Source organism: Homo sapiens, chromosome 9 (assembly GCF_000001405.40).
Source record: "Homo sapiens chromosome 9, GRCh38.p14 Primary Assembly".
Classification (NCBI taxonomy): domain Eukaryota; kingdom Metazoa; phylum Chordata; class Mammalia; order Primates; family Hominidae; genus Homo; species Homo sapiens.
In genome coordinates, this window is record NC_000009.12 from 96,638,264 (window position 1) to 96,662,341 (window position 24,078).

Genomic DNA, 24,078 nt, shown 5'->3' on the forward strand with positions numbered 1-24,078 from the left:
CAGGCTGGGCTCGAACTCCTGACCTCAAGTGATCTGCCTGCCTTGGCCTCCCAAAGTGCTGGGATTACAGGTGTGAGCCACTGCGCCCAGCCAAGATTTTTTATCTTTGATTTTCTGAAGTTTGACTACGATATGCCTAGGTGTCTTTTTTTTTGGCATTTACTATGCTTGCTGTTTTCTGAATTTCTTGAATCTACAGTCTGATGTTTGACATTAACTTGGGGAAATTTTCAGTCTTTATTGCTTCTAATATTTCTTCTGTTAGTTTCTTTCTTATGATTTCCCATGATTCATGTTATGTCTTTTGTAGTTGTCTCTCAGTTCTTGGATTTTGTTTTGTATTTTTTGCCTTTGCTTTTCAGTTTCTAGTGTCATATCCTCAAGCTCAGAGATTATTTCCTCAGCCACATCCAGTCTACTAATAATCCCATCAAAGGCATTCTTCATTTCTATTCCAATGTTGTTAACTTCTAGCATTTCTTTTGATTCTTAGACTTTCCATCTCTCTGCTTACATTACTCATTTGTTCTTGGATGTTGTGTTTCTCCTTTAAAGTCTTGAGCACATTAATCATAGTTTAAAAAAAAATTGGTCTGATTAATTCCAACATTCTTGCAATATCTGAATCTGGTTCTAGTGCTCGTTCTGTCTTTTCAAATTGTTTTTTGTCTTTTCATATGCCTTATAATTCCTTCTTGGTAGTGGACACGATGTGCTGAGAAAGGAAAAAAAAAAAGGTCTTCATTCTCATCTTCACCTGGAGTAGGCTAAGGAGCAGGAGGAGGAGGAGGAGGGGTTGGTTTTGCTGTCTCAAGTGAGGCAGAGGCGGAAGAGGTGACAGGGGAGCCAGGCACACTTGGTATAACTGTCTCCCAGGCTGGAGTGCAGTGGCACCATCTCGGCTCCCTGCAAGCTCCGCCTCCCGGGTTCACGGGTTCACGCCATTCTCCTGCCTCAGCCTCCGGAGCAGCTGGGATTACAGGCGCCCTCCACCACGTCCCGCTAATTTTTTGTATTTTCAGTAGAGACGGGGGTTTCACCGCGTTAGCCAGGATGGTCTCCGTCTCCTGACCTCGTGATCCGCCAGCCTCGGCCTCCCAAAGTGCTGGGATTACAGGCGTGAGCCACCGTACCCGGCCCACACTTGGTATAACTTCAATTGAAAAAAAAATCTACATATAACTGGACCCGTGTAGAACCTATGTTGTTCAAGGGTCAACTGTATATAATTTTTGTGTAAGCATGTGATTCAGCAGTATGAAGTCTAAAATCAGCAAAGGTCACCTTTAGTATATAAAAAAAGCACAAAATAGTTTAAATGAGAAATTTCATTTTTATTGAATAAAAACATTATACAAACATGAAGATATATTCAAATATTTGAATACATTAGTTTTTTTTGTAACTTTATATGCTTCATATAAAAGTACTGAGTTCAAAGCAGTATTATACTTGCTAATCATTACCAAAATTCTGATTTTGCTATACTTTTCATCAGGATTTCTGGGACACCTCCCAACTAAACATATTAAGATTCTAGAAAAATAGGCCGGGCGCGGTGGCTCATGCCTATAATCCTAGCACTTTGGGAGGCTGAGGCAGGCAGATCACCTGAGGTCGGGAGTTCGAGACCAGCCTGACCGACATGGAGAAACTCCATCTTTACTAAAAAATAGAAACTTAGCCAGGCATGGTGGCGCATGCCTGTAATCTCAGCTACTCAGGAGGCTGAGGCAGGAGAATCACTTGAACCCGGGAGGTGGAGGTTGCAGTGAGCCGAGATCGTGCCATTGCACTCCATCCTGTGCAACAAGAGTGAAACTCCGTCTCAAAAAAAAAAAAAAAATTCTAGAAAAATGAAAGATAACAAGTCTCCCAAATAAGAGCAGTTTGAGGGTGAGAAATAGCAGTTCTCTAGGAATGCATAACTAAACCATAGTGTACATTTAAGTTACCAAGTTTTAAAAAATTTTAACAATTCTTGGCCGGGAATGGTGGCTAACGCCTGCAATTCTAGCACTTTGGGAGGCCGAGGCAGACGGATCACCTGAGGTATGGAGTTCGAGACCAGCCTGGCCAACATGGTGGAACCCCGTCTCTACTAAAAGTAGCCAGGTATGGTGGCGGGTGCCTGTAATCCCAGCTACTTGGGAGGCTGAGGCAGAATTGCTTGAACCAAGGAGGCGGAAGTTGCAGTGAGCTGAGATTGAGCCATTGCACTCCAGCCTGGGCGACAGAGCAAGACTCCATCTCAAAAAAAAAAAAAAAAAAAAAAAAAAAAAAGCCAGGCAAGGTGGCTCATACCTGTAATCCCAACACATTGGGAGGCCGAGGTGGGCGGATCATGAGGTCAGGAGGTCAAGACCATCCTGGCTGTTATAACACAGTGAAACCCCGTCTCTAATAAAAATACAAAAAATTAGCCGGGCGTGGTGGTGGGTGCCTGTAGTCCCAGCTACTCGGGAGGCTGAGGCAGGAGAATGGCGTGAACCCGGGAGGCGGAACTTGCAGTGAGCCGAGATCATGCCACTGCACTCCAGCCTGGGCAACAGAGTGAGACTCCATCTCAAAAAAAAAAAAAAAAAAAATTCTTATAGTTCCCTTTCAAAAAGCACACTGACCATATTTTTAAATACATATCTTAAATATCTAAAACAATTTTTTTCTCCATAGCTCCCCCAACCCCCCAAAATCCTAGTGAAACGGATAGCAAGTATGTAGTTTGAGAAGGTGCTGTGGACACTGGCTATATGTGAAATGTTCGGATTGCCACACTTCCTCTGAGTAAAGCAATTACGATGGAAAAGTGGACTACAGCTTATATAATTTTGCTCTTTTGTGAAGGTTGTTATGTGGCATAAAATTGTCCTATAATGTTTAAAGACCTTTTCCTGGCCCTACAATATTAATCATGCTCATTATATAACAGTTGGGAAATACAGAAAAGTACAGAAAAGAAAATAATAACACTAATCTTAACACAGAGATACCTACTGGCAACATTTTGGTGTTTATTTCCTGTCTTTTTCCAAAGCATACAAAAATACAAATATATACATATAAAAATGCAGTTACATTGTTGACAGATTTGATATTTTGCCTTCTTCACTGAATATAATGGTCTTGTGTTGTTCTCCTGTCCCCTTATATACTGTCAGAATTTATATTGCCAAAAAACTCTTTCATTGACTGAATATACCATAATGTAAAATAATTTAGAGTATTTATGATTTTATAGCTTTTAAAGTTATATTTTGTATATTCATTTTTTTTGTATAAAATGTTAAAAGTTATAAAATGGAAGTATATAACATATTTTGACAACTGATGCTTCCCAGCATGCAATTCAACAGGTTCAAGCCCCCTTTATGCTTCCCTAACTCCTCAAAGGCTGGGAAGGGACAGCAGGTTAGACACTGCACGAGGATATTACACCCAGGCATTGAAGGTCACATTCCAGAAGGTCCAGTTGAAAGTGACTGAGTGCATTTTAAGTCACACATGGATAACTGAAGGTCTGTTTGTAAAGTTCACATGCTGAACTCCTACAAGCTGTAAAACAGAGTTGATAGGTTTGTGATCCAACCTATTCCTATCGCGGTGTATAAAATGGATGTTGTTACCTAGAAGAGAATAAGAATAAAAGGCTGAGGCATAGTATTATTCATCAGATTTACTGCTTACTAAAATCAAGGAAGCTTTTCAACCTTTAATTAGTCCAAAGGGAAAAATTAATTACCTGGAGTGCATTATATTCTCTATATAATGCCATAATAATTTTAAATCATGGTAATAAAGTATGACAAGGATTATGGTTAAATAAGAGCCATACTTGATGTTTTATGAGATCCAAGGGGAAAGATTTTTAAATTATAACCTTCTGTTAGGTTTTATTAAATATAATTAAATAAAATGTCCTGTCAGACGGGCAGAATACGGAACTCACATAGATATCAAGCTGGAAAATCACATCTGTTTCTTAAATCTAATAATAGAATAAATATAATAAGGAAATAAATCACTCACTTCAAAAAATCCACTCCGAAATACTGATTTAACAGGCTATCTGTATTATAACCATAGCCCAAAAGAGGCTCTAAAATAAGGCCTTAAAAGACAATCAGTTATAATACACTTAGATGTTCACAATCCTTACATCTGTTCAAATACAGATTTTATAATTTATAATCATAAATTTACAATCTAGTTTCTGTTTGATTCTTGAACTCAAGACCAGAATTTTAACTTAAACCATTAGATTAAGTGTATGAGGCACGTTTTCATTTTTTTTTTTTTTTTTTGAGACGGAGGCTCGCTTTGTCGCCAGGCTGGAGTGCAGTGGCATGATCTCGGCTCACTGCAACCTCCGCCTTCTGGGTTCAAGCGATTCTCTTGCCTCAGCCTCCCGAGTAGCTGGGACTACAGGCTTGCACCACCACGCCCAGCTAATTTTTGTATTTTGAGTAGAGACGGGGTTTCACCAGATGGCCAGGATGGTCTTGATCTCCTGATCTTGTGATCCGCCCACCTCGGCCTCCCAAAGTGCTGGGATTACAGGTGTAAGCCACTGCACCCGGCCATGAGGCATGTTTTCTAAGCACAGCTGGTCTTCTGCATCCATGAGTTCCGCATCCTCATTCAACAAACCACGGATTGAAAATATTCAGAAAAAAAGGATAGCTGCATATCTGCTGAATATGTACAGACATTTTTTTTTCCTGGTCATTATTCCCTAAATAGTACAGTACAACAACTATTTACATTGCATTTGGTATTATAAGTAAACTAGAGATGATTTAAAGTGCAGGGGAGGACGTGCATAGGTTAGATCCAAATACTACAGCATTTTATGTGAGACACTTGAGCATCTCAGATTCTGGGATCCACTGCAGGTCCAGGAACCAATCCGCCATGGATGCTGAGGGATGACTGAATGGTCCCAAGTTGGCACACAAATGATGCTCTCCATGTGCTCTTTCTTCTTTACTTATTTATTTTTGGGGGCAGTGTCTTGGTCTCTCGCCCAGGCTGTAGTGCAGTGGTGTGATTTTGGCTCACTGCCAACCTCCACTTCCCAGGTTCAAGCGATTATCCTGCCTCAGCCTCCCTAGTAGCTGGAACTACAGGTGCATGCCACCATACCCGGCTAATTTTTTATATTTTTAGTAGAGATGGGGTTTCACCGTGTTAGTCAGGATTGTCTCGATCTCCCGACCTTGTGATCTGCTCACCTTGGGCTCCCAAAGTGTTGGGATTACAGGTGTGAGCCACTGCGCCCAGCCCATGTACTCTTTATTCTTACACAACAGAAGATGTGGACAAATGATTCAGAGACATGGAGATAAGGGACTCAAAAACATCCCCTTTTGGGTATGAGGATGGAAATAAGTTGTTCAGAAATATGGCTAATGTCATTCTGGGCTAATGCATAGGATTCATTCTCATTCATCAGGGCTTCTTTTTATAACGAATCTGTTATAAATTCATGAGAGGGAGGCAAAGGGAGATTTTGGCTACAATGTTCCAGCTGCAAAAAGCCCAAAAATCATATTACTCAGTCAAAACCCTCCTTCTAAAAAATATGGTATTGGCTGGGTGTGGTGGCTCACACCTGTAATCCCAGCACTTTGGGAGGCAGAGGTGGGCAGATCACGAAGTCAAGTAATTGAGACCATTCTGGCCAACCTGGTGAAACCTTGCCTCTACTAAAAATACAAAAATTAGCTGGGTGTGGTGGCAGGCGCCTGTAGTCCCAGCTACTAGGGAGACTGAGGCAGGAAAATCGCTTGATCCCGGGAGGCGGAGGTTGTAGTGAGCCGAGATTACACCACTGCACTCCAGCCTGGTGACAGAGCAAGGCTCTGTCTCAAAAAAAAAAAAAAAAAAAGGTATTTATCAAAGTAAATATTACTCATATAACTCTTATAAGCTATGCTCATTAAGCAGACAGTTTTAAAGAGGAAGAAAAAACAAAAAGATGGTCTTACAACATAGTGATTTAGGCTTTTGGGCCCTGTCTGATAAGGGTGTTTGTCCTTTGTTGCAATGCTGGAACACAGTAGAGATCTAATCAGTTACAATACACTTAGATGTCCACAATCCCTACATCTGTTCAAATACATCTGTTCAAACACTTAGCAGAGACGAGCCAAAGCAATCTCAGGTGGTCCACACCCATCAATAAAGTTAACAGTGTGTGGCTTATAGTCGGACCTCAATCCCATTCTTTTTTATTTTTTGAGAGGGAGTTTCCTTCTTGTCACCCAGGCTGGAGTGCAGTGGCACGATCTGGGCTCACTGCAACCTCCGCCTCCCAGGTTCAAGTGATTCTCCTGCCTTAGCCTCCCAAGTAGGTGGGATTACAAGCATGCACCACCACGCCCGGCTAATTTTTTGTACTTTTAGTAGAGATGGGGTTTCACCAAGGGCTGGTCTGGAACTCCTGGCCTCAAGTGATCCACCAGTCTCAGCCTCCCAAAATGCTGGGATTATAGGTGTGAGCCACCATGCCCGGCCTCAATCCCAATCTTATGGGATGAGCTGTCCCTAGCACTGACTAACTTGCTGACACTGAGTAAGTCTCCTAGTTTTGTTAGGTATAAATAACTACATGGATTCTTTTTTTTTTTTTTTTTTTTTTTTTTTTTTTTTTTGAGGCAGAGTCTCACTCTCTCACCCAGGCTGGAGGGCTGGAGTTCAGTGGTGCGATCTCGGCGCACTGCAAGCTCCGCCTCCCAGGTTCACGCCAGTCTCCTGCCTCAGCCTCCCGAGTAGCTGGGACTACAGGCACCCGCCACCACGTCCGGCTAATTTTTTTTTGTATTTTTAGTAGAGACGGGGTTTCACCGTGTTAGCCAGGATGGTCTTGATCTCCTGACCTCGTGATCCGCCCGCCTTGGCCTCCCAAAGTGCTGGGATTACAGGCGTAAACCACCGCGCCCGGCTGGATTCTTTTCTTGAAAAAAAAGGCACGTGACGATTTTCCCCTATTCAGAAATGTTCATCTCCACTGAACATTCCTAAATAGCGGAGTGTGTGACAGCCATATACAGATCGCCAGCCCACAGGTGACTGTGGGAAATCATCTAGGCATGGGATGATGGGCACGCTCATCAAATACATAAACATCAAAATATACAGAAGCCTTTGAAAACAAAAGATGCCCCCCTACAAAAGCACAGCATCCTGGCTGTAATGCCAAGATGTCCATTTGTACAGGGTGTCTGCTTTATGAAGAAAATGGTGGCCTCTGGGTGGGGCGCGGTGGCTCATGCCTGTAATCCCAACACTTTGGGAGGCCGAGGTGGGTGGATCACGAGGTCAGGAGACCGAGACCATCCTGGCTAACACGGTGAAACCCCGTCTCTACTAAAAATTTAAAAAATTAGCCGGGCGTCGTGGCGGGCACCTGTAGTCCCAGCTACTCGGGAGGCTGAGGCAGGAGAATGGCGTGAACCCGGGAGGCAGAGCTTGCAGTGAGCCGAGATTGCGCCACTGCACTCCAGCCTTGGCGACAGAGCGAGACTCCCTCTCGAAAAAAAAAAAAAAGGAAAAGAAAAGAAAATGGCGGCCTCTGAACTTGTAAAAAGCACAAGACGTCTACTGCTGAACCTGGGCTTTGATGCTTACCTGGACCTAAAATGAGGGTTCCACCTTGCTGAGCTGGGTCTCCTTGAAAATCAAAGAGAGGGCCAGTCACTGCCCGCCACAGGCTCTGAAGGCTTCCTGAGAGTAGATTTGATTTTATGTGGGGGCTCTGTCCTGAAATGTCGAAAATTGTCTTTAGATGTCATTTTATATTCAATTTGATATTAAGAAGATAATGTATTTCTAGAAAACATTCTCTTTCTTCCTTTAAAGAATGGTTTCTCAATCTTTTACCATCAACATTTTGGCTCAGATCATTCTTTGTCCTGTGCGATATACGGTGTTTTGCAACATCCTTGCCTTCTATACCCACTAAATACCAGTGGCACCGTTTACCAAGTTGTAAAAACCAAAAATGTCTTCAGACAATGCCAAATGTCTCCCAAGGGAGAGAGGAGTAAATGTCCCAGTTAAGAACTACTGCTTTAAAGGAAACGTGATGACGGACCCACATCATTTTCTGCCACAGAAAAATGTCAACTATCGACTTCTCAAATTAGCAGTGCTTTCCATTTTAATTCCCCATTTATACTCTGTTTAGTCTCACTTATTAATAGGCAGCTACAGTCCTTTTCAAGAGACATTGTGACACAGACTGCTACGTGTTGGTCAAAACCTGTTTCCTCTTTCTGGGCCCACAGCTGAAGTATATTTTCCAGTCTTAGTTGCAGTTAGGCAAGGCATGTGACTATGTTATAAACAATGAATGAAATGATCTGTGCTGCTTCCAGGCCAAGCTCCTCCCACAAGTGATTCTCATATTCCTTCTACATTCTTGGAAGGCTTGGGTTGAAGGTGGCAAAGCACAAGATGGAGGGTGCCTGGATCCCGGAACTGCTGCTCAAGAGGAAAGGCATCCAAATAGAAAAACCGTTCTTGAAAAAAAATTTTTTTTTTGAGATGGAGTTTCACTCTCGTTGCCCAGGATGGAGTGCAATGGCGCAATCTTGGCTCACTGCAACCTCTGCCATCTGGATTCAAGCAATTCTCCTACCTCAGCCTCCCAAGTGGCTGGGATTACAGGCATGTGCCACCACGCCCGGCTAGTTTTCTATTTTTAGTACAGATGGGGTTTCTCCACGTTGGTCAGGCTGGTCTCAAACTCCTGACCTCAGGTGATCTGCCCGCCTTGGCCTCCCAAAGTGCTGGGATTACAAGCATAAGCCACCGCAGCCGGTCCCGTTCTTGAAATTTAAGATAAAAAGAAATAACCTCCTACCATGTCATGCTACTGAGACATGGGGGCTTAGCTGTGACAACAGCCACTGCAGCTACCTCTTCACTTCTCCTTGGCTGTCAGTTTTCTATTTCTGTTATCACAGTGGCTAATACTTAATTTCCACTTCATTGGAGCAAAGAGACTCAGTCTCTTTATTCTTCTTGTAATTAATTTTTCTCCTATCCTTGCCATGTATGTCTTACTTTTAACTTTTTATTTTAATGACTATGCAGCCTTTGGCCTGCCTAATTTCCGAATATTTCCAAACACCTATTATTTCTCCTCATCTCTTCAACTCTTTGATTTCTTTCATGTTTACATTATAATGAGCATTTATCTTACCAAGAAACAAATACAGGCTCACTAGCATAGAGACTTGAGTAAAAGATTAAGTTTTACTTTGTTTTTTAAGAGACAGGGTCATGCTCTGTTGCTCAGGCTGGAGTGCAGTGGCACAATCATAGCTCACTGCAGCCTCAAACTCCTGGGCTCAAGCGATCCTCCCCCGTCAGCTTCCTAAGTAGCTGCGACCACTGGTTCATGCCACCAATCCTGGCTAATTAAAAATTTTTTTTTGTTGTTGAGATGGGGTCTCACTTTGTTGCCCAGGCCGGTCTCAAATTCCTGGCCTCAAGTGATCCTCCCACCTCCGCCTCCCAAAGTGCTGGGATTACAAGTGTGAGCCACCATGCCTGGCCTTGAATTTTACTATCTTATAGGATTCTACATGTGAAATAAATGCTCAGAAATCCAAACTCTCTCCTTATTTTTTAAAATGCAAAAGAAAATTTTGAGACAGGGAGTCAATCCGTCACCCAGGCGGGAGTGCAGTGGCACGATCACTGCTCATTGCAGCCTCAACCTCCCAGGCTCCAATCGATTCTCCCACCTCAGCCTCCCGCATAGCAGGGAGTACAGGCATGCACCATGCCCAGCTAATTTTTGTATTTTTTTGTAGAGACAGGGTCTGGCCATGTTGCCCAGGCTGGTCTCGAACTCCTACACTCAAGAAGTCCTCCCACCTTGGCCTCCCAAAGTGCTAGGAATGCAGGTGTGAGCCACGACACCCAGCCCAAACTCTCTTCTTATGTCCAAAGAAGGGGTCAATTAATATTTCAGAAATTTTAGAAATTCAACTTGAGATTCCATAGCCTAGAACTAAGTAATCTTTGTTGTCAAGCACAATCTAGTTTTGCCAGTTTGAATTTACTTCTTTTGTGTCAAATTCCTGTTTTTCAGTCTTCTACAAACCCAGTACTCCCTTGTATGTAATGGCTTCATTTTCTTATTCTTCATCTTTATTAAAATAGGCACCATTAATTTTAAATTATAATTATATAATATATTTTTAGTGCCTTAGTTTTCAAGTAAGACTATTCTGAGACTGATTTTGAGATTTATGCTTTATGTTTTTTTTAGGGAGAAACCTCAAAAAAATTATTTTATGAGAACCTAATATTTTGTTTGGCAATGCAGTCCTTCAACACAGGTTGAAGTAGTGAAGATTTGAATACACCCTCTCTTATAATTACAAGCATATATTCAACTTAGTATTCATCTATTTAGTTTGCAATTCCATATCTTTATTGTGACAATGAATAGTGAGGTGTTACTAAAGTGAAACTCACAGTTTATATATAAAGTGCTAAATTTTTTTTTTTGAGACAGAGTTTCGCTCTTGTTGCCCAGGCTAGAGTGCAATGGCACAATCTTGGCTCACCACAACCTCTGCCTTCTGGGGTCAAGCAATTCTCCTGCCTCAGTCTCCCGAGTAGCTGGGATTACAGATGTGCACCACCACACCGGGCTAATTTCATATTTTTAGTAGAGACAGGGTTTCTCCATGTTGGTCAGGCTGGTCATGAACTCCTGACTTCAGGTGATCCACCCGCCTTGGCCTCCCAAAGTGCTGGGATTACAGGCGTGAGCCACCGCGCCCAGCCCTAAAGTGCTAAATAATTAAACAGACCTTACACATGTTGAGACTCTGTTACAGCACATGAAAACTGTGTACCAAAAAGTAAGGTTCACAATCTGTACTGCTATGATTTCCTATACTAAAGAGAGAGAAACAAGCAGACTCTATGTTTATGCCAGCTCATCATTAGTTCTGATCAAGTTTAGGTCTTTTTCTTTAAAAACATCTATAAAGGAGCCGGGTGCGGTGGCTCATGCCTGTAACCCCAGCACTTTGGGAGGCCGAGGTGGGTGGATCACCTGAGGTCGGGAGTTCAAGACCAGCCTGACCAACATGGAGAAACCCTATCTCTACTAAAAATACAAAATTAGCAGGGCATGGTGGTGCATGCCTGTAATCCCAGCTACCCCGGAGGCTGAGGCAGGAGAATCACTTGAACCCAGGAGGTGGAGGTTGCAGTGAGCCGAGATCACACCATCACACTCTAGCCTAGACAACAAGAGTGAAACTCTGTTTCAAAACAAAAAACAAAAAACAAAAAAAAACCCATCAATAAAGGGATCAGCAACTCTGCCTCACAAACAGCTCCCAGACCCATCCCCTCCTCTCTATCCCCTCTTCAAGCCTTGTCATTTCTTTCTAGCTTATGTCTGCCCTACAACCCTGTCACAAATATCACTGGCTCTGGTTTGGCCAGCTCCAATCCCTGCTCCACATGGGTTATATGACTGTCTCACTTCTCTGCTTCAAACACTTGTATAATTCCCCAGCTGCTTCATAATAAATCCAAACTCCTTGGCACATTACCCCAGGCTCAACATGAACTGGCTGTAACTTATCCCTTGGCTCACACCAATTCCCCTAACTGGGTCTTACACTCTGGCCAGAGGAAGGGACCTGTATTTTTCTGAAGGAGTCATGTTTTCTCATGCCTTTGTGCTTTTGCACATGCTACTTTCTGTCTAGAGCACCCTTCCCCACCCTCATTTCACCCAGCTAACTCCTTTCAGAGTGAGCTGAGACTTCATCTCCTCTGAGAAGCCCTCCCAGATCCTACCCCACTTAAATTGCTGACAAAGGTATTTCTAGTCAGGAATGCCTCCCTCCATCACTGGCCCTTAGATGGTATTGTAATTAGCTGTTTGTGCCTGTCTCCCAGAGTAGATGATGAGTCTGCATGGTGGGGACTATGTATTTTATCACTGTCCTCCTGGGAGCATCCAACACAGTGGGTATCAAACAAGAGGTCGATAATATTTATTCAAAATTATTGATTTTTGTTTGAATTGAGTTCTCTTATCTGGCATTTCACAAACACACACAAGCAGTACAACTCAAGTTTTCTAAGCTCTATTAATTACAAGGAACTGTGGCAAGGGCAGAGAACACAGATAATGTAAAGATGAATAAACATGAAACTCTTCAACTAACTATACTCTCTGGTCCCCTTAAGTGCAATAATAGAGTATATAATAAAGTGCAGGGTGCTGTGAAAGCAAAAGGGAAGCAATGACTTCTGCTTGAAGAGTGATTCAGAGCCCCTTTCAGTTGGGTGATTTCAAACGATAAGTGGGATTTCCTCAATTAAAGGAGATGGGATATTAAAGACATGGTACTGAGGTATAAAATTATGTGAACTTAATACTACTTTCCGTTTAATTACAAAAGTAAAATATACTTGTAAAAAATACAAAAGCCAATTTTCTCACTCCCCTCCTTGAGGTAAACACTACCATATCTTTTAAAACCTATTTCATCATGTGCGCACGCGTGCACACACGATCTTTATGAAAATCCTTTTTGTTTTCACAAAAATGGAACCACATTGAAAACACTTCTGCAACTTATTTCCATTGAATAGTGCTTTGCTAACAGCCTTCCATGTCATTACACCCAGAAAATGAATCTTCTGGAGCCTGGTGTATCTGGACCACTTATTAGAATAATAAAAAGCAGCCTGAGGCTGGGTGCAGTGGCTCATGCCTATAATCCCAGCACTTTGGGAGGCCGAGACAGGTCAGGAGTTCGAGACCACCCTGGCAAACATGGGGAAACCCTGTCTCTACTAAAAATATAAAAAATTAGCTGGGCGTAGTGGCAAGCACCTGTAATCCTAGCTACTTAGGAGGCTGAAGCAGGAGAATCATTCGAACCCGGGAGGTGGAGGTTGCAGTGAGCCGAGATCACACCACTGCACTCCTGCCCCAGCAACAGAGTGAGACTCCATCTCAAAAAAAACAAAAAAGCCTGATTTATGAATTGACCATGTTTCCCTATGCATATATACACAAATATGAACATACACCACCAGTGTTTTCTATTTGAGACATGTTATGTCTTACCTGAGGAAGCAATTTCTTCACCTCTTTTCATTCCCAATCTTTTATAAATTTCTCTCTCAGGATCGACATAGATTTCATGAGAATATCCAGTCAGCTTGCAAAAAGGCTGAAAAGAGAGAATGGTTGGAATTTTTACAAGAACAAATGAGAGAAAAGTAATGATACTCTAACTTCAGCCAACTTAGCCTACATTTAGTGGTTTAAATAATGTAATTTTTATGTCTGAAACAGATTTTATTCATTAGTCTCCCAATGTACTAGATATTTACCTCAATATGATGGTAGGATGACTGTCCAATCACTATAAGGGTGACATTTGCTTCCTTAGGAGAAAAAAAAGGACATGTATATATCATTAGAAATTATGCATGTTTTATACAACATCCCTTAACCCAACTCTTATGTTTCATTCTAATGCCACCTATAGGCTTCTAGAGGAATGGAATACACAGCAAAATTGTGTGAGTTAATGCAAAGATATGTATAGTAAAATATTAATTCAGATGCTTCTTTTGCTAAGTAGGAATTTCCAGACTTACACATAAGACCTAAAACTATAAAACTACTAGAAGAAAACTACAAAACTGCTACATGACATGGGTGTAAACAATGATTTGTAGAATATGACCTCAAAAATACAGGCAACAAAAGCAAAAATAGACAAATGGGACTATATCAAACTAAAAAGCTTCTGCACAGCCAAGGAAACAATCAACAGAGAAGAGACAACTCACAGATTGAGAGAAAATATCTGCAAACTATACATCTGATAAGGGGCAAATATCCAAAGTGTAAAAGAAATTCAAACAACTTTGCAAGAAAACAACATAGCCTGATTAAAAAATGGACAAAGGGCTGAGCATGGTGGCTTACGCCTGTAATCCCAGCACTTTTGCCAAGTCAGGTGGATCACCTGAGGTCAGGAGATCAAGACCAGCCTGACCAACATGGTGAAACCCCATCTCCACTAAAAATACAAAAATTAGCTGGGTGTGGTGGCATGTGCCTGTAATCCCAGCTACTCTGGAGGCTGAGGCAGGAGAATCACTTGAACCTAGGAGGCGAAGGTTGTAGTCAGCCGAGATTGTGCCACTGCTCTCCAGCCTGGGGGGCAGAATAAGACTCCGCCTCAAAAAAAAAAAAAAAAAAGAAATAGCCAAGAGATATATGAAAAGATGCTCAAAATCACTACTCATCAGTGAAATACAAATTAAAATTACAATGATATAACCTCACACTTGTTAAATGGCTATCAGTAAGATGCAAGATAAGTGTTGGTGAGGATGTGGAGAAAAAGGAACTTTTGTACACTGTTGTTAGGAATGTAAATTAGTACAGCCATTACGGAAAACAGTCTGGAAGTTATTAAAATTAAAAATAGAAATATAATATGATCCAGCAATCCCACTACTGGGCATTTATTCAAAGGAAATGAAATCAGTATGTTGAAGAGATATCTGCACTCCCATGTTTTATTACAGCATGATTCACAACACCAAGATATAGAAGCAACCTCAGTGTTCAACAATGGATAAATATAAAGAAAATGCGGTATCGGCCGGGCGCGGTGGCTCACGCCTGTAATCCCAGCACTTTGGGAGGCCAAGGCGGGCAGATCACGAGGTCAGGAGATGGAGACCATACTGGCTAACACGGTGAAACCCGTCTCTACTAAAAATACAAAAAATTAGCCGGGCGTGGTGGCGGGCGCCTGTTAGTCCCAGCTACTCAGGAGGCTGAGGCAGGAGAATGGCGTGAACCCGGGAGGCGGAGCTTGCAGTGAGCTGAGATCGCGCCACTGCACTCCAGCCTGGGCGATAGAGTGAGACTCCATCTCAAAAAAAAAAAAAGAAGAAAAGAAAATACGGTATCACATTTGGTCATAAAAAAGAAAGACATTTTTCTGTTATTTGCGACAACACTAGATGCACCTGGAGGACATCGTGTAAGTGAAATAAGCCAGGCACAGGAAGAAAAACACCGCATGATCTCATTTACCTATGGAAACGAAAAAAGTAGAGTGTAATGATGGTTACCAGAGACTGGTTACTCAGGGATAAGGAAAAGGGAGGTGATCAAAGGGTACAAAGTTTCAGTTAAACAAGAGGAATAACTTTTAGAGATCTGCTGCACACCATGGTGACTATAGTTAACAATGTATACTTCAAAATTGCTAAAAGACTAGTTTTTACACGCTGTCATCACAAAAAACTAAAATCACTATCTGACATGATGGATGTATTATCTCGATTTAATCATTCCACAACGTAAATGCCTATGAAAATATTACACTGTATCCCATAAACACATACAATTATATATGTCAATTTTTAAAAAGAGAATAAAAGGATACGCAGAGGAACAGTCAAAACATTGTTTTCAAAATGATATAGTAAATAATTCTCTATATTCTCCCCAAAGACATTCTTTTTTAAAAACTCTGTAGCACAGTTTTTTTTTTTTCTTTTTTAGACGGAGTCTTACTCTGTCGCCCAGGCTGGAGTGCAGTGGTGCAATTTCGGCTCACTGCAACCTCCGCCTCCCGGGTTCACGCCATTCTCCTGCCTCAGCCTCCCGAGTAGCTGGGCCTACAGGCGCCCGCCACCAAGCCCGGGTAATTTTTGGTATTTTTAGTAGAGTCAGGGTTTCACCGTGTTAACCAGGATGGTCTCGATCTCCTGACCTCGTGATCCGCCCTCCTCGGCCTCCCAAAGTGCTGGGATTACAGGCGTGAGCCACCGTGCCCGGCCGCACAGTTATTTAATCAATGTTATTTTTTCACATCCTGATTGACAAGGTCTGCTGAAAGAACATCTGTTTTATAAAGGCTGCTCAATGCCTTTCCTCAAAAAGCTCACTTGGGCACAAACCTATCTGTGCCTCAAGAAAAACAACTATGTGGTTTGTCCTAGGGACATGGAACTTGCAGCCTATTAACATAAACATTTGCACCTTTACGATATATTAGTATTTTCCCATAATGAGCAGCTATTTGGAGTGTAACAAAAAATAAAGGGAAGAAAATAACCATTTCCAGCATTTGTTTTAGGGCATTATCAGTCAACATTTGAGAACAGGCACTAGGTTACCAGGCAACACCACAATTGTTAGTACGTTTACCACCAGGCAGCACCCAATGAGTTAGGGCAGAAATAGATCTCTGACGTCTCACTCCTTTTGGAGGGGCGAGGGTGGAGAGAGCTGCGGGGAGGGGCAATCCAGGCTGCAAGTTCCGCGCTGGAGCCGCGTCCTCCCCCGCCCCGCTCGCAAGGTCTGCAGAAGCGGGCACTGGGCCGCCCACGCTGGGAAACTCACTTGTAAGAAACTCCTGGGGATTTTGGCCAGATCCTCTACGTATTCCTTGCAGATGTAACACAGGAAATGCTGAAAGCCAAAACGGCAGAAAGGGCAAGTTAGTAAAGCAGCACCCTCGGGCCCCGAAGGATCCCTGTACTTCGCCGTGCGTGACGCGAGCAAAGGCGACGCCCGCGGGGCCGGGACCGGCGGCTCGGGCGCCCGGCGCGTGGGAAGCGGGCCTCGCCCTCGCCCTCTCCCTGCCCCGCCCTAGTTGGGAAGCGGCCGCGACTGGGCAGGCTGCCTTCCCGTTTCCGTCCTAAGAAGCAGGAGGCGCGGCTCGCATCCCGGCAGCCTGCCCGGGACCCTGGGCCGCGCTTCCCTTCCAGCCCCGCCGCCCGCTCACCCGCACGAACACCACCACGGCGCGGCGCTCCCGGAACAGCGCGCCGAACGGTACCCGCTGCCCGCGGGCGTCCAGCACCGGCAGCTCGGCCACGGCGGCCGCCAGGGGCTGCCCGCTGTCGGGGCCGCTCGGGGCCGGGACCAGGGCGGCGGCGCCGCTAACCTGCCGCGTGACCGGGGCCGGCGCGGCCATGACGCGGGGCGGCCGAGGGCCTGGGTCCGCTCTGTCAGCGCGGACCGGGGCGGGGCGCGCAGAGGTTGGGCGCGGGGGGCGGGGCGGGGCGTGCAGAGGTGGGGCCTGGCAAGTCACGGTTTCCGCGGCGCGGCGCGGGCCTGGGAGCTGTCGGAGTGAACCCCACGGGCGGTTCTGACTCAGCTCTCAGGGTAGGGGACAGAGAGAGAAAGTAAGGTCCGTCCACGGCGAGCAAGCATTATTGAGGAAGAAAGCCGCCCGCGCCCTCCATGGCCACCTGAGCGGATGTTCTCACCTATTCGAGAACTAATGGGTGTATGTGTAAAAGGTGGGCTAGGGCCAGGCCCACGTTTTGTAAACACACAGGCCGGGCCTGTAATCCTAGCGACTTGGGAGGCCGAGGCGGGAAGATCACTTGAGGCCAGGAGTTCGAGACCAGCCTGGGTAGGTAACAGAGGGCAACGCCATCTCCGTTTTTTAAAAAAATAAATAATAAAAATAAAGAAATAAAAGGTGAGCTGGGTGGGATGAGGATGATGAAGTTAGATGACTTAGCAGCTGTTTTGTAGAAATCCCACACTTCCAATTCAGTTTCTCCTGGGGTGGGTAGGCAGGCATAGGGAAATCTGGGGATCTCAGCCTTTGTGAGACCAAACTGGCCCTGGATTTAGAGGTTCATCTTTCTCTGGGGTTTCTCATGGGTGCTAACTGTGTGTCCAAGATTTCCAGAGCAGGACCAGATAACATTCAGGCTCTTTGTCTTCATAAGTTTACTCACTCTTGTGTATGGATTTGGGGTTCAGAAAGTACATCCTTTATCTATGGCCTTTGTTGAGCTGAAGAATATTTCTGGGGCGGAGTGCTAGGCAGGTCTATGTGACTGATGTGACTCTGCCACAAAGTGCAGGAAAGGGGGATGCTGCATCCTCTGGCTTTCACCTGTGTGAAGATTTTATACTTTATTGAGCACACATTAAGTGCTCTGTTTGAGAAGCTCTGCAGCGTGTTTACAAAATTTTAAGCATAGATCTGTTTCTAAGTCAAGATAGTTTCTTTCTGAGACAGGGTGTCGCTCTGTCGCCCAGGCTGGAGCATTGGCACGATCATGGCTCACTGCAGCCTCCACCTCCTGAGCTCAAGCAGTCCTCCTGCCTCAGCCTCCCAAGTAGCTGTGATCACAGGCATGCACCACCATGCCTGGCAAATTTTTTTTTAGATTTGTTTTTGTAGACACAAGGGTCTCCCTATGTTGCCCAGGCTGGTTTTGAACTCCTGGGCTCAAGCAATCCTCTTGCCGTGGTCTCCCAAAGTCCTGGGGTTACAGGCATGAGCCACTGGGCCTGGCCAGGAGCTTTATGAGTTTTTGGAAATAAATGCATGACCAAAGTGCAGGCTGATGAATAGCACTCACAACAGGCAGTTTGCCAGATGTCACCAAATTTATTGTAAGCAGTGTTTTGGTAAGCAGAAATTGATATACAGATAAGAATGGTGGTATTTTGGCAGCTCTGATTAATTGCTGGTATCAATGAATGAAAAATTTTCTTTGACATTACTGCTTTCAGTGTCATATTTCATGTGAAATAAATTACAGGTTAGACAATTTCATTTTGAAATACAAAGAGCCACATGACTTAGTTTTTGCAGAGTGATGAACTCAGACATCATCAAAAAATAGTTTTGTAGGAGGAATAGTAGCCATGCAGAAATGCAGAAATTAGAAGGTATTGTCTAGGGAGCATCAGTACATGACTGAATGAGACACTGAGAGATGAAGTGCCTGTGACAGTTATCAACTTGCTTCTCAGCTCCAAATCAACCCTTCACTATATACTCTGTGACAATGGACAGACTTCCTCTAAGCATCTAACCTTTGCAATGGGCAATATATTAAGCATTTTCAATAGACAGTGTTGGCAGGACATTGCAGGAGGAAGGGGATTTCAAATAGCCTCCTGAGGGTAGCGGGTGGGGCTCTGCCTCTGGCACTTTACCAGGATACACACTTCCTTGGCAACACTGCAACTATTGGCTGTTCTAGCAATAACCTAGCACCTCACTTGATGTGAAAACTGGAACTTGAACGCACTCCTAACTCCACTAGCAGCCCAATTCCTCACCTGTGCCCCCAATTCCTCACCTGTTCCCATCGAGCCACCGCTCTCTGTAGAGCCGTTGGCTCACCTGTACCCATCACCATTGCCTCTGCTCTCATCCACTGCTTGCTGATGACCTATGCCCTGCCTGCATTCTAGTGGGTTCCTTTCTGCCTTTCCCTTGACTGTATACCAGATCCAGCCTGGGCAAGCCATCAAACTTCTACACATAGCTATCCAGTAGGCTGAACTATACCTGCTCCAGTCAGATCTGAAACCCAGATTTGGGGAAGGGGTCCCTTTCAAGTTTGTCTTCTTTGAGTATTGGTCCTTAGCCATAGGTTCCTTATATTTTCTAGACACACTTTAATCAGAGTTGTTGTTTTTTCAGAGATGGGGTCTCACTAATGTTTTCCAGGCTGGAGTCCAGTGGCTATTCACAGGTGCTATGATTATAGCACACTACAGTCTCATACTCCTGGCCTCAAGCATTCCTCCTGCCTCAGCCTCCTGAGTAGCTGAGATTACAGGTGCATGTCACCTGATCAGAGTTTACTCATTCATTATATTAAACTTTCCCTGTTTAACCTACAGTGTGGTTTAAATCTCGTTATTGGACCCAGACTAATACAGCACCTTTAGATACTATGATTAAGGAAAAGTAAATGTAAACTATTACTGTTTCCGTTCTGTTATTATTTAGGAATGACCTGCTAATATTTGGTGGTATAACTTCATATGTCCATGGTTTAAAATAAATCAAAGAACACACACTAAAAAATACAGAGACAGCACTACATGTTTGTAGAGTTGCCAGTGTAACTACTGTGTTGCTCAAGAAAGCGTCCTCCAAAATATCTTCTGACAAGTCCAACTAGAGATTCAACTGCCAAGAATACAGCTCTGAGGGGATAATACAAACAGTGTGTACAGTTTTTCTTAATTTGTTAATTTTAAAAAATATTTCCCCCTTTTGTGGTAAAATATACATGACATAAAATTTCCCACTTTAACCATTTTTAAATGTGTAATTCATTAGCATTAAGTACATTCACACTGTTGTGCAGCCTGCTCCATCATCCATCTCCAGAGCTTTTTCATCATCTCAAACTGTAACTCCATAACCTTTAAACACTAACTGCCCATTCCCTGCTCTACCTAACGCCTGGCAACCACCATTCTACTTTTTATCTCTATGAGTTTGATAACTCTATTTATCTTGTGTAACTGGAATCATACAGTATTTGTCCATTTGTGATTAACTTACTTCACTTGGCACAATCTCTTCAAGGTTCATCCTTGTAGCAGCACTTGTCAGGATTTCCTTCCTTTTTAAGCCTGAATAATATTCCATTGAATGTATCTACCGCATTTTCTTTATCCATTCATCTGTTGATGGACATGTGGGTTGTGTCTATCGTATTATGAATAAAGCTACTGTGTATGTGGGTGTACAATTCATTAATTTTTTGAGTGTTATATTAGGGATCTCCAGAAGAGAACCAGACCATATATATCGATATATCTCTCTCTATAGAGAGATATATACATCTATATATCGATATATAGATGTATATATCGATATATAGATCTATATATATGTGTATGTATATATCTCTCTGTATATAAATAGAGACATTTTATACATATATATAAAATGGAGAGAGTATGTGAATTTATTTATTTATTTTTTGAGACGATGTTTTGCTCTTGTTCCCCAGGCTGGAGTGCAATAGCGCAATCTCGGCTCACTGCAACCTCCACCTCCTGGGTTCAAGTGATTCTTCTACCTCAGCCTCCCAAGTAGCTGGGATTACAGGCATGTGCCACCACACCCAGCTAATTTTGTATTTTTAGTAGAGACAGAGTTTCTCCATGTTGGCCAGGCTGATCTTGAACTCCCAACCCCAGGTGATCCACCCCCCTCGGCCTCCCAAAGTGCTGGGATTACAGGTGTGAGCCACCGTGCCCAGCCGAGAGCAAATTTCTTTTAAGAAACTTACTAGTGATTGTGGGGGCTGGCACATCTGAAATGTGTAGGGCAGGTGAGCAGGCTGTAAATGAATGTAAGTATTGGTGTTGCAGTCTTGAGTCCTAATTTTGCACGGCAAGAGGCTGGAATCATCTTGCAGTTTTGAGAAGTGCTTCTTTTTCAGGAAACCTGCTTTTGCTTAAGCCTTCTCTGATTGGATGAAACTCACCCACATTATGGAGGGTAATCTGCTTTACTCAAAGTCTACTGATTTCAATGTTAATGACATCTAAAAAATACCTTTATAACAACACTTAGACTAGCATTTAACAAAATGACTGGATATCATGTCCTAGTCAAGTTAACACATAAAGTTAATCACCAGTCTATCTCTTGTCAACTTGGCACCCATACACATCCCCTAAAACCACACTTAATCTCCATATAAAGATAATAACAAAGTCATACTTCTGCCTAACAGGATACAACTATCTGGCATAGAACTGAAAATGCAATGGCCGGGCGCAGTGGCTCATGCCTGTAATCGCAGCACTTTGGGAGGCTGAGGTGGGTGGATCACCAGAGGGCAGGAGATCGGGACCAATCTGGCCAACATGGCGAAACCCCGTCTCTACTAAAAATACAAAAACTAGCTGAGTGTGGTGGCAGGCGCCTGTAATCTCAGCTACTTGGGAGGCTGAGGAAGGAGAATTGCTTAAACTTGGCAGGTGGAGGTTGCAGTGAGCCGAGATATGCCGCTGCACTCCAGCCTGGATGACAGAGCAAGACTCTGTCTCAAAAAAAAAAAAAAGAACTGAAAAACGCATTAACTTTTCCCCCAGAAAAGGATGCAGAATCCTTGGATGATCTTCACTCTTCTTAATATCCTATAACTTAAATACTATGATAAAAAAGTTAAGAGTATTTAAATACTGTGGTGTAAAGTTAATACATCCTACAGTATATAAGGGGCTAAAGAAGACAGAAAAGATTTTACGCACACATGCGCACACACACAGACATATTCATAAGAAAATAAAGAAGAAATATTCACAGCAACTACCATTCTCATTTAAACAATTGGTCACGTGTTTATTATACCTGATATTTATAAATACCTTCCTCTATTATCCATTCCATATTCCCTTGTCCACAGCAAGCACTTCAGCTGGTTGTGTGGTTTTTTTGACTGGTGGGATGACCCAAACCTTCATTCCTGAAGGGGCTGAGCCATTCATAGTCCCGCCTGGATTGGGTTGTAGTTTTCCATTGACTTTAATCAGAGGGAATGTTAGTTCTAAGAGACACCCCAAGGGATGTCCTGCATCCCAGCCATATTTTTCCTTACCTCTATTGTGAAATCCAGTGACCCTTCGTAATTAGGAAAAAATCATCCCAGGCAGTAGAGTAGCTCCCTTCTTTACCTGTTGACTCAGAGGCATGCAGAGCCTGCAATGGCTGGGTGGTTGTCTTGTTGTCCAGTTCAATGAAGTTAATTGTTGTGTGACCTGGTGGAAGCATTCCTCCTTTCAGAACTAAGACTTGTAGACCAGCAGAGCATGAGGTCATGGGAACAGGAAGCGAAAGCTTTGCAAATATTGTGTAGTGCCACTCTCATTTCTACCCCTGGATTCCTGCACCTGTAAATACTGTCTGTCAGATAAACAGTATCATGTATCGGACACTGATTTAGAGAATACACGGCTTCTTGGGGAGCCTTGCCTCAGCCCTGCAAGGTATGGTCACCTAGCTGGTGCTGTAACTGAACTCCCTTCCCTTCCCCTCCCTTTCCCTCCCCTCCCCTCCCCTTCACTTTTTTTTTTGAGATGGAGTTTCACTCTTGTTGCCCAGGCCGGAGTGCAATGGTGCGATCTCGGCTCACTGCAACCTCCATCTCCCAGGTTCAAGAGATTCTCCTGCCTCAGCCTCCCGAGTAGCTGGGATTACAGGCACACGCCACCAGGCCCGGCTATTTTTTTTTTTTTTTTTGAGATGGAGTCTCACTGTGTCGCCCAGGCTGGAGTACAGTGGTGCGATCTTGGCTCACTGCAAGCTCTGCCTCCCGGGTTCACGCCATTCTCAGCCTCCCGAGTAGCTGGGACTACAGGTGCCTGCCACCACGCCTGGCTAATTTTTTGTAATTTTTAGTAGAGACGGAGTTTCACCGTGTTAGCGAGAATGGTCTCGATCTCCTGACCTCGTGATCCGCCCGCCTTGGCCTCCCAGAGTGCTGGGATTACAGGCATGAGCCACCACCCCTGGCCCTAATTTTGTATTTTTAGTAGAGACGAGGTTTCTCCATGTTGGTCAGGCTGGTCTCAAACTCCTGACCTCAGGTGATCCACCTGCCTTCGTCTCCCAAAGTGCTGGGATTACAGGCGTGAGCCACCATGCCCGGCTGTAACTGAATTTTCAAAAGGCCATTCCACTGTTCTGTCAAGCCAGCTGCTTCAAGATGGTGGGGAATATGGTAACACCAGTGAATTCCATGAGCACGAGCTCACTGCTGTACTTCACTTGTCTTGAAGTGAGTTCCTTGAATAGAAGGAATGTTGTGTGGAATACCATGACAGTAGATAAGGCATACTGTAAGTTCACAAGTGATAGTTTTGGCAGAAGCACGGTGTACTGGGAAGGCAAATCCTTATGTAGGGTGTGTCTATTCCAGTAAGAACAAAATGCTGCTGCTTCCATGGTGTAAGTGGTCCAATATAATCCACCTGCCACCAGGTAGCTGGAATCACCCTGGAGAAGGGTGCCACAGTGGGAGCACAGTGTCGATTTCTGTTTCTGGCAGATTAGGCCTACTCAGCAGCAGCTGTGGCCAGCTTGGCCCTGGCTAGTGAACGTCCACGTTGCTGAACTCATGCATACCTTCACCACTGCCATGCACAACTTTGGGTTGTGGAAAAAGGCTGACTAGTATCCACACAAAAATCAACCTATCCACTTGATTATTAAAATCCTCCTCTCCTGAGGTCACCCTTTGATG

The 24,078-nt window shown here is 43.8% G+C and overlaps 1 protein-coding gene across 4 annotated transcripts, besides 3 other annotated features; it reads right to left on the reverse strand.

The window, feature by feature from the left end:
- Nucleotides 1-1,313: 1,313 nt before the first annotated feature.
- Nucleotides 1,314-17,054, reverse strand: PRXL2C (peroxiredoxin like 2C). Of its 4 annotated transcripts, none has more exons than XM_005251784.5 (6): nucleotides 16,989-17,054; nucleotides 16,442-16,510; nucleotides 13,396-13,449; nucleotides 13,127-13,232; nucleotides 7,630-7,761; nucleotides 1,314-3,623 (listed from the first exon to the last, which is right to left on the reverse strand). In XM_005251784.5, the coding sequence occupies exons 1-6, from the start codon at nucleotides 17,016-17,018 to the stop codon at nucleotides 3,496-3,498; spliced, it is 519 nt and encodes a 172-aa protein (XP_005251841.1). In that variant the 5' UTR covers nucleotides 17,019-17,054; the 3' UTR covers nucleotides 1,314-3,495. The 4 variants fall into 4 exon arrangements, with proteins under 4 accessions (XP_005251841.1, NP_714542.1, XP_047278861.1 ...); NM_153698.2 differs by having other exon boundaries at nucleotides 16,827-17,054; XM_047422905.1 differs by lacking the exon at nucleotides 7,630-7,761.
- Nucleotides 16,593-16,662: a silencer, noted in NCBI's record as "silent region_20088". NCBI's record gives its function as "represses an Ori minimal core promoter by ATAC-STARR-seq in GM12878 lymphoblastoid cells {active_cell/tissue: GM12878}" and the evidence as "EXISTENCE:reporter gene assay evidence [ECO:0000049][PMID:35858748]".
- Nucleotides 16,803-17,012: a silencer, noted in NCBI's record as "silent region_20089". NCBI's record gives its function as "represses an Ori minimal core promoter by ATAC-STARR-seq in GM12878 lymphoblastoid cells {active_cell/tissue: GM12878}" and the evidence as "EXISTENCE:reporter gene assay evidence [ECO:0000049][PMID:35858748]".
- Nucleotides 17,053-17,142: a silencer, noted in NCBI's record as "silent region_20090". NCBI's record gives its function as "represses an Ori minimal core promoter by ATAC-STARR-seq in GM12878 lymphoblastoid cells {active_cell/tissue: GM12878}" and the evidence as "EXISTENCE:reporter gene assay evidence [ECO:0000049][PMID:35858748]".